This window comes from Homo sapiens, chromosome 1, assembly GCF_000001405.40.
Source record: "Homo sapiens chromosome 1, GRCh38.p14 Primary Assembly".
NCBI lineage: Eukaryota > Metazoa > Chordata > Mammalia > Primates > Hominidae > Homo > Homo sapiens.
This window is the reverse complement of record NC_000001.11, coordinates 54,095,194-54,113,096: the sequence shown is the minus strand read 5'-3', so window position 1 is coordinate 54,113,096 and position 17,903 is coordinate 54,095,194. Positions and strand designations below refer to the sequence as shown.

At 45.6% G+C, this 17,903-nt stretch overlaps 1 protein-coding gene across 2 annotated transcripts in view, besides 1 other annotated feature; it reads right to left on the bottom strand.

The window, feature by feature from the left end:
- Nucleotides 1-576: 576 nt before the first annotated feature.
- The window catches only part of TCEANC2 (transcription elongation factor A N-terminal and central domain containing 2), a 58,913-nt gene continuing 41,586 nt past the window's right edge, over nt 577-17,903 (bottom strand). The window contains exons 4-5 of one of the 2 annotated variants that reach the window (NR_130900.2): nt 16,253-16,812; nt 577-2,045 (exon numbers count right to left, since the gene is read on the bottom strand). Coding sequence is in view for 1 of the 2 variants with exons in the window: in NM_153035.3 (NP_694580.1) it covers nt 16,624-16,812 (189 nt within the window). In the remaining variant the exon portion in view is untranslated. Of the gene's footprint in view, nt 2,046-7,014; nt 16,813-17,903 lie in introns of those variants that run through there. The other variant, NM_153035.3, reaches the window with a different exon arrangement.
- Nucleotides 2,028-2,267: a silencer, noted in NCBI's record as "fragment chr1:54576503-54576742 (GRCh37/hg19 assembly coordinates)". NCBI's record gives its function as "represses an EF-1alpha promoter that drives an FKBP-Casp9 reporter gene in an ReSE screen in phorbol 12-myristate 13-acetate-treated (for megakaryocytic differentiation) K562 erythroleukemia cells {active_cell/tissue: K562(+PMA)}" and the evidence as "EXISTENCE:reporter gene assay evidence [ECO:0000049][PMID:32094911]".

Sequence of the window (17,903 nt, the reverse complement as noted above, 5' to 3'; positions counted from 1 at the left end):
CAAGGACGTAGAGGCACAAGGAAGCAGGAAACAGCAAGAACGATGACTGGTAGGATTCAGGATTGTAGTATTTGCAGCTTTGACTCTTTGTCAATAACCTACATGGTCTGCAACAGCTTATAATTTGTCAGTTTGCTGAGGACCAAATTTGAATTCTTCAAGACCAGTGTATGCAGCCAAAGCCTATTTGTGAGCAAGTCCAGCTGGCTGCCCAGCACACACTTCTCAGCTCAGCTTTCTGGTTCTCTCCTCTTTGTGGGAGGCAGGGTGACCCTCAACACATGGGCTTCAGTCAGCACATCTGGGGTGAACTCCCAGCTTTGCCCTGAAGTGGTGTGACCTTGGGAAAGTGACTTCCTGTCTCAGAACCTCAGTTTCCTAATATGTAACTCCAGAATAATAATACCTCAAAGCACTGTCGAGGGTCATTCATGGACTCTCTCTGCAGGATAAAAGGAACTGGTCACAGCGTGGTCTGTGGGAAGGGGAAGAGGGACATGGGAGTGCAGAGGAGGCAGGGAGACTTACTTTTCTCTCTTCGCCTTTTTGTAATCTCTTATTTAAAAAAAAATCACATATGCAGAATTCCTTTATTCACGTAAATTATTGAAATTTCAAACAATGAGATAATGCATGAAAAGCACTGAGCATAGTCTTGGCAGTTAATAAATACTCCATAAATGTTAGCTTTTATTGTTATTATACACATTATTACACAGTGATTTTGTTGTTGTTTGAGACAGGGTCTCTGTCGCCCAGGCTGGAGTGTAGTGGCACCATCCTAGCTCACTGCAGCCTCAACCTCCCGGCTCAAGTGATCCTCCCGCCTCAGCCTCCCTAGTGGCTGGGACTACAGGTGCACGCCACCATGCCTGGCTATTTGTTGTTGTTGTTGTTGTTGTTGTTGTTGTTGTTTTGTAGAATTGGGGTTTTGCCACGTTACCCGGGCTGGTCTTGAACTCTTAAGCTCGAGTGATCTGCATCTTGGCCTCCTGAAGTGCTGGGAATACAGGTGTGAGCCAGTGAGCCCAACCCACAGTGATTTTTAAGAACTGTTTCTTTGTGGAAAATGACTCCTTCCAAAAGTTAAATGCTCCTTCATGGAGCTGAAGAGAAAGTGAAGAGATTAAGGGTAGCAATACTTCTTAGCCACAAAACATGAGTTTCCCTGACTTGATCTTTGACTTGGCTCTTTACTGATCCAGCCAAAGCTGAAGCCAGGGCACTGGGGGAGCATGACAGCCTTGCCAGAGAGGGAGGCCGGCCCACCCAGGAATGCCCATCCAATCGGTCCAGACTGGGATTTGGAGCCTGTCTGTGGCCTACTGGCTCAGTCACCTTGGGCAAGTCATTTAACTTCTCTGAGCCATCAGCTTTTCATTTGCCAAATGAGGATGGTGATACTATCTGCCTTGCAGGGTTGTCGTGAGGGTTACATGGGAGAGCTGTGTGATGGCTACCATCATCACATCTTCATCTTCATCATCATCAAGTGTTTAGGCCTCACCCGGGAGCAACGGGGCCAGTAAAAAGCTTTCTGCCCGGTGTGGGAAGGTTGGACTTAGGAGTTGGACAGGCCACTCTAGAGGTCAATGTGGAGAGGGGACTGGCCACTCCAGTTGACCTTCCTGAGTAGTACCCTTAGGCATGAATTGGACTGACCCAGCAGAAGTTTGGCCCAGGATTGTGGCCGAGAAACAAAATCTGAATGTAACTAACACAGCTTTACCTTATCCACTTGCCTGGGATGGTACTTATGCTAATCCTATTCCAAGCAAAAGCAACTCAAACTAATAAAAGCTGCGCCTCCGCTCTGGGTTCCACACCATCTGTCGGTCCACACGCTTGGGATTAGCTCTTCCCATGGAGCCCAGACTGTCTGCTCGGCTGCGTGGACTATCAGAGGCCAGCCTGGAGGCACGGGGGCGGTGCCATCCATTCATGAGCACATATGCATGGAGCCCTGCATGGGGCCAAGCCCTATGCCAAGGACTGGAGGTCCAGTGAAGGAGAGACGGACAAGGTCGCTGCTCCCAGGAAGAGCTCTGGTGGGAGAAGCAAAAAAATTAGCAAGGGAATAAAGAAGTGCATATGGTAACTTCTGATCGTTTTAAGTCCTATGAAGAAAAACAACACTGATGTGTCAGAGAGTGACTTGGGGGTGTGGGCCTAATTAGAGAGGGTGGCCAGGGTAGGCCTCTCTGAGGAGGTAAGAACTGAAGGACAAGAAGTCACCTCGGGGCAATCAGGGCATGCTGGGCAGAGGGAAGAGTGCATGCAGCTGCCCCAAGGAAGGGGTATAGTCAGGAAGTTTGAGGGACAGAAGACCAGAGAGGCTGGAGCCAGGGGTAGGACAAAGATGGAGATGGTGCCAGAGGCCAGGACACGGAGGACCTTGTAGGCCACTGTAAGGACTTTTGTTTTATTCTTAGGGTGATCGGAGACATTGGAAGGTTGTGTTGTTTTTTTGTTTTGTTTTGTTTTGTTTTGTTTGAGACAAGGTTATGCTCTGTTGCCCAGGCTGGAGTGCAGTGGCGCAATTACGGCTCACTGTAGCCTCAACTTCCCAGACTCAGGCAATCCTCCCACTTCAGCCTCCCAAGTAGCTGGGACCACAGGTGCATGCCACCACATCTGGCTATTTTTTTTTTCTTTTGTAAAGAGATAAAGAGATCTCACTATGCTGCCCAGGCTGGTCTCAAACTCCTGGGCTCAAGCGATCCTCCCACCTCGGCTTCCTAAAGTGCTGGGATAACAGGCATGAGCCACCACACCCAGACCCATTGAAGGGTTTTGAGCAGGGGAGTGACATGACCTGCAGTATATTCTAGACATTCACTCTGGCTGCTGAGTGTAGAATTGATTAGAGAAGGGACAAGGGGCTCCCAAGAAGACTGGGTAAGAGGGTCAGGCATAAGGTGATGGAGAGAAGATTAAGGGGTGGGGTCACATTTGGGAGACTAAGGCAAACTGCAGAGTACCCAGCACAGTCTCTAGCCTGTACAGGAGTTCACTACCTGGTGGTTGGGGCTTTGATGATTTTGATGATTTTGATTCCCCTCTAACACACAGCCTCCCCTATTTGATCTGCTTAAGTCCTGGTCTGGAGGCCCCTGTGGCAATGCTGGATGCTTCTCCCTTATGAGCTGGCCTCAAGTCATCTCCATGCCATGTGGGCTGCTTATCTCAGAGGTAAACCTGCCACAGGCTATGTATTTTCTGGCTCTGAAGTAATCCAACCCTTAGTGCTTCTTTGGGAGCCTTGCTGTCTACATCAGGCAGGAGGGGACGGGGCTCTTGCACATATAGAGATTTACTGACCCAGCACCAACTTCAGAACCATGAAAACCCATGGCTGAGGGAGGGCTTGGCCTCCTGCCTGGGCTATTATTTACTCAGTCAGTGCATGTGTATAGAGCCCCTGATCTGTACCAGACTCTGCTGGGGACACAGAAATAAATCAGACAGTCCCTTCCCTGGAGAAGTTCACATTCAGGTGGAGAGGGAAACAGATAACGAAATGCCTGATGTGCTATAGGTGCTCCATATTTGCTGGTTAACAAATAGTTACCTACGTAGTAAGCCCCTGATACATGTAACCATAATTTTACTTAGGAGTTTCCTCACCTGAAAACCTTTAAAGTTCTCCAAGTAAAAATTCCCAGCCCAGCACTCAGGCCACCCACATACTGGCCTCTACCTCCTTCTCCAGGCTCACTTCATGCTATTCCTCCTCCTGCTGCACTTTGGCTCCATCCACGTCACACTTACTCCTGTTCTTTGACATCCTTCTAGCTTCCACGTTTGCACATACCTTTCCTTGTACCTGGAATGCCACTCCCTACCTGGGAAACTCCTCTAAAACTCTCAAACCCAGCTCACAAGTCAGCATTTCTGCTAAACCTTTCCTGATACCCTCCGGGCCAGGCCCCTCTACAGGCACAGTTCAGTGGTCCCTCCACTGTGCTCCCACTCAGCCCCTAGTATGTCAGATTGCAATAGATGGATGACTTGGCTCCTTATTGGACTGTGAGCCCCCGTCTGGTTCATCTCTGCGGCCTGGGACCTGTCACCGGGCCTGGCATAGAGGAGGCAGGTATTCAGGAAGCATTTTCTTTTTTTTTTGGGACGGAGTCTTGCTTTGTCACCCAGGCTGGAGCGCAGTGGTGCGATCTCGGCTCACTGCAAGCCCCGCCACCCGGGTTCACACCATTCTCCTGCCTCAGCCTCCCGAGTAGCTGGGACTACAGGCGCCCACCACCATGCCCGGCTAATTTTTTGTATTTTTAGTAGAGATGGGGTTTCACTGTGTTAGCCAGGATGGTCCCAATCTCCTGACCTCATGATCCGCCCGCCTCGGCCTCCCAAAGTGCTGGGATTACAGGCATGAGCCACCACGCCCGGCTCAAGAAGCATTTTCATTCATGGTTGTGTGTATTAGCTTCTACTAGGGCTGCCATAACAAAGTACCACAGACTGGATGGCTTAAACAACAGATTTATTTTGTCGCAGTTCTGGAGACTAGATGTCCAAGATCAAGGTGTCAGTGGGTTTGGTTTCTTCTGAGGCCTCTCTCCTTGGCTTGTAGGTGGCCACATTCTTGCTGGTCCTCACATGGTCTGTGTGCTGTCTGCATCCTAATCTCTTCTTATAAGGACACCAGTCATACTGGATTAGGGCTCACCCATATGATCTCATGTTACCTTAATTAGCTTTGTAAAGGCCCTATCTCCAAATACAGTCACATTCTGGGGTACTGGGGGTGAGGACTTCAACATACGAATTTGGGGATGATGCAGGGTGATAAGGACATCCGTGTGGCTATGCATAGCTAGATGAGAGGCACAAGAATCAGGCCAAAGAAGTCAGCAGGACTGGGAATGCTAGGCCTCAGGTTAGCCTTCAGCCGCTGGAGAAAAAGCTGAGGAATAAAAGGAAAACTTAATCCCACTTAAAGGGGTGAAAGAGCAAGGAAGGCGAACCCTTTGGGGTTGTAATGGGGGATATAAATATTGATTATGTTTACAGGATGTTCTCAAGGGCTATTAGCTCTGAGTTCATTTTCCAACATAAATAAAAGAAGATAACCATTAAGGACTAAGGGTCTATTAATAGGCAACAAAATATGTGGACACTTACAAACATACAAATACCATCCCCTTCTTCACCTCTGAGACCATTTCACAAAATATTCTCTTACTTAGATGGGGAAATTGAGGTCTGGAGAGTTGAAATAGCATGTCTATGGTTGAATAGCAATACGCTAATGATTATCCTACTCAAAGGCAGACATGAAAAGCTGTGGAGGAAAAATCCTTGCCAATCATAAGAGCTTGTTTCTCACACAACGTGGTTGTGTATGTTTTCTGCATTTAAAAATACATTATATGAATTTATGATCACTATGAAAAAACATCTGATTACAACCCAACGCATAAAATAAATGAGTCCATATTGATATATTAATAAATAAATTATCAAAAAAATTAAATGGCAGAGAAGGGACAAATCTTCCTTAAAGAAGCCTTCCAAATTATATAGGTAGATACTCCACTCTCCAGGAGGTGGAGTTTAATCCACCCCCAGCCCCCTAACCTTTGAGTGAGGGTTAGATTTGGTGACTTGCCTCCAAAAACAAAATATGGAAAGGGAAAAATGACAACTTCATAGTGGGAAAATCTGGCAAAAACTAACGTAACCAAGCACTCAGGGCTAGCATCACCAGTCAATAGTCCTGTGGAAGCCATGTGCCCCCTGCTGTGAAGTGATGAGACAGGCACTTCATCTCAGTGGTATTCTTCCCCAAAACCCTGAATTCCAACTTAGTCATGAAGAAATCCTCAGACAAACCCAAATTGAGGGACAGTCTACGAAACACCTGGCCAGTACTGCTCAAGACTGTCAAGGTTATGGGGAACAAGGGAAGCCTGAGAAACTGTCACAGAACAGAGGAGACAGGATAGACAGGATGACTGAGTGCAGCCTGGGGTCCTGGACTGAATCCTGAAACAGAAAGAGGACATCGGTGGGAAGACTGGCAAAGTCTGAGTGAAGTCTGGAGTTTAGTAATAGTAGTATACCAACAGTGGACTTTTAATTTTGACAGATGTACCACACTATTGTAAGAAGTTAACAATGGTGGAAACTGGGTGAGGGGCATACATGAACTCTCTGTATTTTTGCCACTTTTTGTGTATCTAAAATAACTCCGAAATAAAAAGTTTATTTAAAAAAATCAGGCAAGGGGAGTGAGTCCCTCCTGACCAAAAACCCCTCACCCCATCCAAAACGTCTCTCTAAATTGGGTATATATCTGTACACATCTTTTTTTTTTCTTTTTCTCAATATGTTTCTATGGAAATAGTTTTTTTCCCTTACATAAATAGTTCATAGTGTACATATGGTACTGCAGCTTCCTTTTTTCACTTAACAATATGTCTCAGTGATGTTCCCATGTCAGTACTTATAAATTTGCGTGGTCCAACACAGTAGCCACTAGCCACATGAGGCTATAAGCACTTGAAAAGGTAATTAGCCCAAACTGAGATGCACTGTAAGAGTAAAATACATACCACATTTCAGAGGCTTAGTACAAAAAATGTAAAATGTCTCAGTAATTTTTACATTGATCACATGTCAAAGTAATAATATTTGGGGCATATTGGACTCAAAATATATTATTAAAATTAATTTGTTTCCTTTTATATTTTTTATGTGGCTACTGGAAAATTAAAAAATACATATGTGGTTTGTGTTATATTTCTATTAGATAGTGCTGTTATACAAACCTAAACTCATTCTTTTTATCCACTGCACGGTATTCCAAAATCTGGATGTACAATTTAACCATTCTTTTTTAAATGTGCATTTAGACCATTTCTAAAATTTTGCTGTTACAAACCATGTTGCAATTAAAATCTTTGTACATGCCTCCTTTGCACATATGTAAAAGTATTTCTCTAGAGCATGTTTTGGCATGCTAAGGCCCATGAACCAAATGCAGCCCACCACCTGTTTTTGTAAATAAAGTTTTATTGGAACACAGCCACATTCATTCATTTACATACTGTCCACAGCTGCTTTTGTATTACAATAGCAGAGCTGAATAGTTGTGACAGAGACCATGTGGCTCACAAAGCTTAAAATATTTACTATCTGTTCCTTTAAAAAAGTTTGCTGGCCGGGTGTGGTGATTCATGTCTATAATCCCAGCACTTTGGGAGGCCGAGGAGCGCGGATCACGAGGTCAAGAGATCAAGACCATCCTGGCCAACATGGTGAAACCCAATCTCTCTAAAAATAAAAAAATTAGCTGGGTGTGGTGGCATGGTAGTCCCAGCTACTCGGGAGGCTGAGGCAGGAGAATCGCTTGAACCCGGGAGGCAGAGGTTGCAGTGAGCCAAGATCGCGCCACTGCACTCCAGCCTGGTGACGGAGTGAGACTCCGTCTCGAAAAAAAAAAAAAGTTTGCTGACCCCTGTTCTAGAATTGTTAACAAAAACTGGAAGAGCTATGTTATAGGCCCACTTCCTTGGAAAGTAGACTCTGAGATGGAGATTAGCATGCGGGAAGTTTATCAGGGATTGCTCTTGGGAAGGGGGCAGGAAAGGAAGCAGGATTGCTCAGAGAGATAAATTGGGCTCCGATGCTGTATGAAGACCTCAGCCAGTCTCATGGGAGGGTCTTGAAGCTGAGATGGCCCTTCCAAGTTGTCAAGTTGAGGCAGTGGGGCCAGGCCTTCATAACCTTGAACTGACCTGCCTGGGAAAGGGGTATGTCAGTGAGGTAACTCTTCCATTGAGGAAAATTCCCAGGGGGCTGACAGCTGAAGGCTGCTGGCTGAGAGCACTCCCAGTAGCTGTGGGAAGAGGCCCAGGAAGCATGGTGGCTGGGGGGTCTGGGCAGCACAGGATGGTGTCCACTACAGCCCACATTTGTGCTGCTCAGCTCTACTTTTTGGTTTAAGTTCTGGTGGACCTCCTTTCCTGGGGGAAACTTAGGAAAGTAAGTTGGACAAACTACAACCTCCATCACTGACTGGTCTTGAGGCCACAACTGATACTCATCATCTCCCTCTTCTACTATCCATTCTAGATCCTCCTTACCCTCAGCCAGCACGTGTTCCGGTCTCCGTCACTTCCACGGAGGCATGATTTAGACCCTCAGCCCTGAGGGGGCTGAGCCTGAAGTCAGCATATCCTGCTCAGGTCACGGTCTGGGCACTTGTATAATTATTTTATAAATATTGGGCAAGGGGCCAGGCGCAGTGGCTCACGCCTGTAATCCCAGCACTTTGGGAAGCTGAGGCAGGTGGACTGCTTGAGGCCAGAAGTTCAAAACTAGTCTGGCCAACATGGCGAAACTCCATCTCTACTAAAAATACAAAAATCAGCTGGGCATGGTGGCACATGCCTGTAATCCCAGTTACTCGGGAGGCTGAGGCAGGAGAATAGCTTGAACCCAGGAGGCAGAGGTTGCAGTGAGCCGAGATGGTGCCACTGCACTCCAGCCTGGGTGACAGAGACTCCACCTCTGAAAAAGAAAAAGAAAAAAAAATTGGGCAAAGGAATACCAAGAAGTCTCCACGTGAATCAACTGAGTACCAAAGATATACCTCCCTTCCCTCCATTGCTTAACAGCAGCTGTACCTCCTCCTGATGATCAGGATTAATTATCCCTCAAAGAATGGTGACTGTTCTTGCCTAGTAGTCTCCTGATATGAGGAGCTCAAGTGCCCGGGTGCAGTCACAGCTAATAGTTCATAGTAATCTTGATGTTTCTTTTAGTGGAAGTGTTCCTCCTTTGTGACTCAAAACCTCTAAACCTGCAGAGCCCAGAACTATGAGAACAGGAGGCACTCCAAGTGGGTCACTAGAAGTGATGGTAAGAGTGAGAGCACTCCTGCTTTCATTTCTTGGTTCCTGGACTCATGTATTCTACCTATTGGAGACAAAGCATCACGTAACGGTCTTTGATTTCGAACATGTGCTGCACCCTGGAGGATGGCAGCTCTTCTCTCAGGGTTTCTGAGCTGGTGCCCCAGCTGTGCCTTCGACACAGTTGCAAGCTGGCAGCTTCAGGATAGCGCAGTAGATGAAAGGACAAGTGGACCCTGTCACCATGTGCCCACTGCTGCACCTCCTTTGCTGTGGAATCATATGGGATCCTGTATGACTATCCCATAATCTATAGATCCCATAATCTATCCCAGTAGATTAAACATTCTATAAGCCCTTTGAGAGTTGTGCTGGATGAAGCTCTACAAGCAGTGAAGATGAACTCGTATCTGGAATATACATCTATGCCAGTGAAAATGAATCACAGCTCTTTCCAGGGTAGACAGGGTTTAATATAGCCAACTTCCCAAGTGGCTGCTGGTTGTTCTCAAGGGATGGAGCTATATCTAGGTTCAGAGTTGGTCTCTGTTACTGGCAGGCCGAACACTCAGCAGCAGCAATAGCTAGATCAGTCTTGGTGAGTGGGAGCCATGCCATACCATCTGATATGGTTTGGCTCTGTGTCTCCACACAAATCTTAACTCGAATTATAATCCCCACGTGTTGAGGGAGGGACATGGTGGGAAGTGATTGGATCACGGAGCCGGTTTCCCCCATGCTGTTGTCATGATAGTGAGTGACTTCTCAAGAGATCCGATGGTTTCAAAGTGTTTGGCAGTTCCCCCTTTGCACTCTCTCTCTCCCCTGCTGTCTTGTGAAGAAGATGCCTGCTTCCCCTTGCCTTCTGCCATGATTGTAAGTTTCCTGAGGCCTCCCCAGCCATGTAGAAATTTGAGTCAATGAAACCTCTTTCCTTCTTAAATTACCCAGTCTCAGGTAGTATCTTTATAGCAGTGTGAAAATGGACTACTACACCACCATGGTTGCTGTTTATACACCCATTGTGTCAGCTCTGGGGTGGCCTCAGAGACTGGTTGATGTCAACTGTGTGTACATTGTTGTTTAGTGCTTCTCCATGGTATGTGCTCTCTGGTGGGTGTTTACATGGAATACAATGATCTTCACACTTGGTGCCCACTCCTATAGGTCCAACTACATGCCTCCACCACAGGTCTCCTTGTTTCCAATTTTCCAATCTTATTCCTTTCAGACCCCTTACCAACCAGCCAAGCCATTCACCACTGCCCATGAGATCCATGTATAGTCTAAGCTCAGGCTCCTTCTCTTTCCACATACAGTGGATGGCTAGGTGCATGATGCACAACCTATGCCCACTAGAAGGACTCCCCACTCTGCTGTCTTTCAAGGATGCCCCTGTGTGGGGCTGCAGTGCAGCCACGGTCTTTTTTTGTCTTGCTCACACACACTGAGCTGACCTATCTAAGGATAAGGCATGGCTTTTTTTCTCTTCTATCAGCTGGATATTATAAAGAGCTCCCCAGGCAGCCAAAGGTGTGAAATGAGGAACAGGCAGGTACTGGTGCAAAGGTAGTGGATGACATAGATGTCTGGGCCACCTGCTCACGTAACTATCTTCTGCCCTCTGGCCCTGCTATGCCCAACCCCAGTTGTATTATTTCTATCTTAGGAATTGCTGCTGGCTTTGCCTGACCTTATGACTTGGTGGATATGGCAGAATCCAGCTCATGATGAACAGCTTTGGTCACATGGTCAACTTGATGATCCATGGTCTGATGATCTGTCTCTACCAGAACCCTGTAGCATCAAGAGTTGTTTCTTAAGAAGTATAAAATTCTTGGCTACAGATGGCATGGCCCTGCTCCAGAACCCCAGGTGTCTACATTGTGATTCTCCTGTAGGGTCTTGTCATAAACTTCACAGGCATCTGTTCCCACCACAGATACCTCGGGTACTTTGGGCTCTGCCAGCTCATCTGTCCCACACCGCATGGCCACTTGTGTTGTAGCCTGGAGCTTCTGCTGAGCCCTTTCCTGCTCTGGGCCCCAATCAAAACACAACTTTCTGTGTCATCCGGTACATGGATGGAGCATATTCCTAGGTGTGGGATATGCTGTCTCCAAAACCTAAAGAGGGCTCCCAGGCATTGTGCTTCCTTCTTAATGGTTGGAGTGAGATGCAATAATTGTCTTTTACTTTCAAGAGAATGTCCCTGCCACATCCCAGACCATTGGCCCCTAAAAATCTCACTGCACCCTGCCCATTTGTGTTTTCAAAAATGGTCTGGGCAAGGCAAAGTGACTCATGCCTGTAATCCCAACACTTTGGAAGGCCAAGGCAGGAGGCTCACTTGAGGCCAGGAGTCCAAGACAAGCCTGATCAACATGGTGACAATCTGGCTAATAAAAAATCAGCCAGGTATGATGGCACATACCTATGGTCCCAGACACTTGGGAGGCTTGAGGTAGGAGGCTTGCTTGAACCTGGGAGGTCAAAGCTGCAGTGAGCTGTAATTGCACCACTGTACTGCACCCTGGGCGACAGAGTGAGACCCTGACCCCCTCCCAAAATAAAAATAAATAGTAAAAATTGTCTGTTTATTGTCTGTTTACAGTCTTCACTAGACTGTAAGCTTCTTGAGGCCAAAGATTATGTCTTCTCTATCCCTGTGACCCTAATACCTGACACGTAAGAACTCAACAAATATGTATTGAAAGAATGATTTTATCAACATTAAAAACCAGCATTTGATTGGATGTCTTGATCTTCTTGGATCTTGAAACCAACCTCCCCAGGTTATGAGTAAGTCCATCCCTGACAGTAATTGTATCATTTTGATTGATTTAAAGAAAATACAATGTCATCCAATCAAACCATCTTTCCTTTGATACCAGGGTAGTGTCACCCAACTAACTGAAACTCCCAAAGCTTTGTTTTCTGGATGGACTCCCTTCCCTTGCAATAATGGGCAGTAACAAACTGAGCCTTTGCCCCATCTGGCTGTGATAAACACATTCAAAACACATTACCAATCTCAGAGTAAGGTTCTGAGGCCTGAGGCTACAGCAAAAGAAAACCAAGGTTGACAGGCACAAGTTTAAGAACCTGATATTCTATAAATGAAAAAGGCCAGCTACCTGTTCCTTCACCACAGAACACAGTAAATGCATTATCTGGGTCTCCTGCCATTTTTCAAACCTGGGATTCTCTAATGATATCTGTTTGGGCAACTTTAAACTTCATTTGTCAAAAAAAAAAAACCTCTAATTGACTGAATCTCAAGTGTTTCTTTCCTTTGCCTTAAATTGTTGGGTTTCTTTTGAATGTTTAAAATTTTCTTAAAATATCTGTTTTTGTTTTTGTTTTTTAAATCTTTTTAAAACACACATCTGATTAGGTCCCTCACCTCCTCAAAAACTTCCCATGGTATCCCATTATCTGAAGGCCAAAGTCCAAACTCGTTGATAAGGCCTCCAAGGCCTTGGTTACTTTTTTTGCCCAATTTCTCACTACCATTCCTAAGAACCTTATGCTTCAGCCACCTCATATTATTTGCCTTTACTGAAACTAGCCATACACCTCACGCTTCTGTGCTTTCACATAGACTGAGCCCTCTGCTAAGAACTCCTACCTATCCTTCTGGCTTTGGTTCAAACATGAACTCCTCTGTGAAGATTCTTCCTCTGAGTGGTGTTATTCATTCCTTTCCCCATCTTCTCAATATTTTCATGTCTATAGTTATCACCCAATATGCTATACTCTATTTATTTAGTTATGTGTCTATCTGCCTCACCAGACTCAGAGGAAATTATCTCTCCTTTATTGCTGTGTCCCCAGTGCCAGTCTAGTCCTTGGCACACAGAAGATGGGCAATATTTGTTTGTTGAATGAATGAATGAAAATACAGAGACTGAGTCCCTACACAGAGGACCAAGACCTCCAATTTTTATTTATTTATTTTTATTTTATTTTATCTTTGAGACTGAGGTGAGTCTTGCTCTGTCGCCCAGGCTGGAGTGCAATGGCGCCATCTCAGCTCACTGCAACCTCCGCCTCCCGGGTTCAAGCAATTCTCCTGCCTCAGCTTATCGAGTGCTGGGATTACAGGTGCCTGCCACCAGATCTGGCTAATTTTTGTATTTTTAGTACAGGCAAGGTTTCACCATGTTGGCCAGGTTGGTCTCAAACTCCTGACCTCAAGTGATCCGCCTGCCTCAGCCTCCCAAAGTGCTGGGATTATAGGTGTGAGCTACCATGCCCAACCAGGACCTCCAAATTAACCACTACAAGAAAAGCATCAATAAGCTATTAGAGCAGACACAAATGGTATTTACTTTCCCACATTTCCCCTAGCAACTGAACTTGCTTATAAGACATATTCACACCTTGACTTACAGGTAACTCAGAGGTCTCAGGAACTACTCTCACCCCATTTCAGGGGCAACTTTTTTCTTTTTCTCTTTTTTTTTTTTTTTTTGAGACAGAGTCTCACTCTGTTGCCCAGGCTGGAGTGCAGTGGTACAATCTTGGCTTACTGCAGCCTCCATCTCCCAGGTTCAAGCGATTCTCATACCTCAGCCTTCCAAGTAGCTGGGATTACAGGCGCCTGCCATCATATCTGGCTAATTTTTGTATTTTTAGTACAGACAGGGTTTCGCCATGTTGGCCAGGCTGGTTTCAAACTCCTGACCTCAGGTGATCTGCCTGCCTCGACCTCCCAAAGCGCTGGGATTATAGGCATGAACCAATGCACCCGGCCTCAACCTTTTCATTTTTAACAGACTGTAGCTCCGAGTTACTTCTCAGTGTGTGGGCAAGATTGGGAGGGATGTCTGCAAGCTTCCTTCCCTTCAGCAAATGCTCAGAATAGCTCCATTAGCGTTCATGGAAATTCTGCACATGCATCAAGGAGAAAACAGCCACAAATAACACAGCCTGCTTTCCAAATCTCCAAAGCACATCTCTGCAATCATTCTACTTTCCAACTATCACCACTGAAGGCTTTCAGCCAGAGAGCAATTTGTTTTCAACTTACTCTGGGTTCCTAAGTTAGCAGAACTCTTTGGTTCTTTAAACATGAAGCTTGCTACTTCCTGTCTCCCTACCCCAGCTTCTCTTCCACATAGCCTATTAACACAAAAGTGACCAGTTCCTGCTTCAAATCAGTCTAACGCCTTCACCTGATGCTCAAGACCCTTCAAACCTGATCCTGGTCCTTGCCTTCCTCTCCTGCCTCATCTCCAGCTACTCTCCTGCCAGTGTCCTCTACTCCAGCCATACCAATCACCTTCCAGATATCTCCACTTCTGGGTTTTTCCATACTCTGCTTGCTCTGCCAGGCATGCATCTCAACCACCCAATTAATTACTCCTGCCCTTTAATTTTGAAATTTTCATTCTATTAACTAACATTCCCCTATCCAAACTCCTGCCCTTTAAGACTGAACACAGGTATCAGCTCCTCCAGGAAGCACTCCCTGATTGAATTAGATGCTTATACTGTACATCCACAACCAGTCACTCAACTATCCAATAAATAGTTATGGAGACCTAGCTTGTCCCAGGCTCTGTTCCAGATGCTGGAGATATAACAGGGAACAGAACAGAGACTCTGCTTTCATGAAGCTTACATTCTGGGAGTGGGGAGATAGACAATAAAGAAATAACTATGTTAAAGAGTAATAAATATTCTGAAGAAAAATAAAGCTAGGTACAGCATTAAAGAATAGTTGGGAGGGAGTGCTATTGTATTTAGGATAGTCAGCAAAAGCCTTTTTGATAAGGGAAAGAGAGACCTAAAGCAAGTGAGGACAAGAACATGCAGATGTCTGGGGAAAGAGCATTGCAACTGGAACAGCAAATGCAAAGAAGTAATATATTAGAAGTAATGGCAAAAACCACAATTACTTTTGCACCAACCTAATCAAACCACCAGGACTTGGTTGGCTGAGGGTGGGAGATGTGGGGTCTAGGCTGACTCCTTGAGTTCCTAGCTGGAGTGTCTGGCTTGCTGGTACTGCCAATGGAAAGAAGACATGTTATATCTGAGATGTCTATGGGGCATCTAGGAAATATCATCTGAAAGTCAGGGGACAGGTCTGGGCTGACGATACAAACTGGAATGTCATCAGCATGTAAATGATGCTTGAAAACATGAGAGTAGATGAAATCATCCAAGGCAACCATATACAATCAAATAGACCCGGATTTTGAATCTTAGATCTGTCATTCACTATCTGCGTGACCTTGAGTAAGTTACTATACCTTTCTGAGCCTCACTTTTCTCATGTTTAACTGGGTATTTTCTTTTTGTAAAATGGTTACCACAGTGCTGGGCCCAGGGTAAACGCTCGATTATTATTATTCTAGCTCCAATAGTTACTAGCAGTAGGAAATTGAAGGTGATGTTTCTGTTCAGTGAGCCTCAGGCTCCCATTTGTAACTACTGCTCAGTATACACCTACCCCACAGAATGGATGCTCAGGAAATGGTTGCTAAATAAACGAATAAATCTAAAAAATGAAAACAACAATACCTACTTAATACAATGGGTGAGAGAAGTAAGCAATATTTTTACAAAACTATATAAAGATCCAGGTAAAGGTTAATAAACTGTCTTAGGAAAAGTGCCTAGTATTTAGAAGGTAGGCAATAATGTTAGTCCCGTCCCTTCTCCCCTTGCTTTTCAACTCATCTTCCTTTTTTTTGGATTTTAAATCTCTCCCCTTCTACCAGCTCTTTCCTTTCAGATTACAAACGTGCTCCAGTCTCCCCTAATCTAATCCCCACTTCCTTGAGTCTTCTACATTCCTCAAATCCTTGTTCCATCATTTTTAAATTTCACCAACTGTACCCCTTCTCAACTCAAAACACTTTTCAGTGAACGAACTCCACCTTTTGTTTTAGAAAAAAAAGTTCCCAGCTTACTATTACTTTTAAAAAAACAAGTATTATTTACGTAATTGTTAAAACAGGCCTGTGTAGAGATATTTCATTTTAACATATATATGTATGTACTTTTTTCTACTGCAGTAATTCATTTCAAGAGAAATTTCATTATGTATCTTCTACAGAGCCCTAAACTGAGAGCGCCAGCGTATTCAAATAAACCCTGAGGTGTGGGAGGCTTCGGGCCAGTTCCTCATTAGTAGCCTCAGCATGGGGGCTCTGGAGACCAACGCAGAAGGTCTTCCAGGGAGAGCTGAAACGTTCAGATAAGTGAGCTCTGGGAAGAAGGGGTAGTTGGCTGGCTCTCGCAGGCTCACCCCTGGGATAGAGCAAAGAGAACAGACAGGGGAGTTCTGAGAGGCACCAGAGCTATCTAAACTCAGGGGGATGGAACCGAGTGAGCGGCAGCGGTAATTGAGTTTCAGTTACCTGCAGGGTGGTGAAATATAGTAGTAACTTCATCTGACTGACATGGGGGAAGTTTAGAGGTGTCCTTGGCATATTCACAGTGAAATCCATCACCCTTTCACCATGTTGGGTGATAGCAACCGTATGGCGCTTCCTAGTGACAGCCAGTGTGCGTTCTGTTAGGCAGCACCAGCGCACTGCAGCTAATGAAGCACATTCCTGCAGGCCTGTCTCCTAGGGCTCTCCGAATCCTCTGTCTGCAAAGGAACGGCACCATGGGAAAATCTAGCACAGCCAGCATCAGCCATCACCCAAACTCAAAAGCGTCTTTGAACGGCAGAGACAGGCCCATTTTCCTCTCTGCCTGGCCCAGGGCTGGAACCGTCCTCAGGTCACTTTTTGTGGGTCTGTACAAACGTGCCGACTGGCAGCGAGCCGCTCTTCACCTGAGCCCGGATTTCAGCTCGGTGCTTTAATGTGAAGACCAGGGCTCTCACCGTCCGCCGGTACGGCCCATTAATGAGGCGGGAGCAGAGATGAAACGTTTCCCGTTCAATATTTTCAACCAGTAGGTGATCCATCTAAAAAACAGCAAAATTATCAAATTAGAGCCTTACATTGCGTAAGGATTAAAAGCAAGAGAGGCTGGAGCACTCTGCTCAGAGGCCTCCATTAATCAACTGAAATTCAAGGACATCTACTTCCTGTCACAAGAGAAACAGGAAGAGCAAATTAATTCCACCCTGGCAATTAAGGAACAAGGCCATGTGCTTTGTGACAGGGACCTCATTCACAACCCCTGCCGGGTGGTAATATAACAGGAAACTGGCCTGAACTAAGCAACGGGTACTGGGCCCTGTACTTTACCAACCAGGAAACGAAGACCAAGAATAATAAATCAGTATAACGGTTCATATTTTTTTTTGTTTTGTTTTTAGACTGCCTTTTAACTCCTTACGGCATTTTAGAGACATGGGGTCTAGATCCTAATATGTGTACAGAACAGTTCAAAAATCACTTTTCACATTTAATGCTCATAACTCCTATTATCACATTTTACAGATAAGGAAATAGGTTCAAAGGCAAAGGTTCAAGGTCTTACAATTACTAAGAGACAGAGCTGGGACTGTGACCTGGACCCCTCGACTCCAAAGTTCATGTTTCTTCCCTTTCACCATACTAATGGCCCCTTCAACATTCCGAGAGAATGGTTGAGATTGGAGAGACGCCTACAGTTTCCATTAAGCAGAGCAGGTCTAGGGAAGGGAACTGTAGCAATTCTGGGGTGGTCTGGCTCAGGCCCAAGCCATCTTGAGGTCCCAGACCTAATCAAAGCAGGAGAGATCTGGAACTTTGTCTACACGGTCTGAATCCAGGGTAGGTTGGGATGCTGATCCGAGACCCCCCAGCCCCTACCCTCCTTTCCAGGCCCATCTTCAGCTATTCCCCTCCCCAATCCTGACCACACCTGGCCCTGAGCACTCCACTCTTGACCACTTTCACACACCTCTGTGCCTCTGCACCAGCACATGTTCCCTTAGCAAGGCACACCTTTCCCTACGGAAAACACTCCTCTTTGTATGTCAAAGCCGAGGCAAAAACAACCAAACAAAAAGACCCCAGTGCAAAGGACTGAAAGCTCTTCAGGCTGCCACCATGCCCTGAGCTTCCC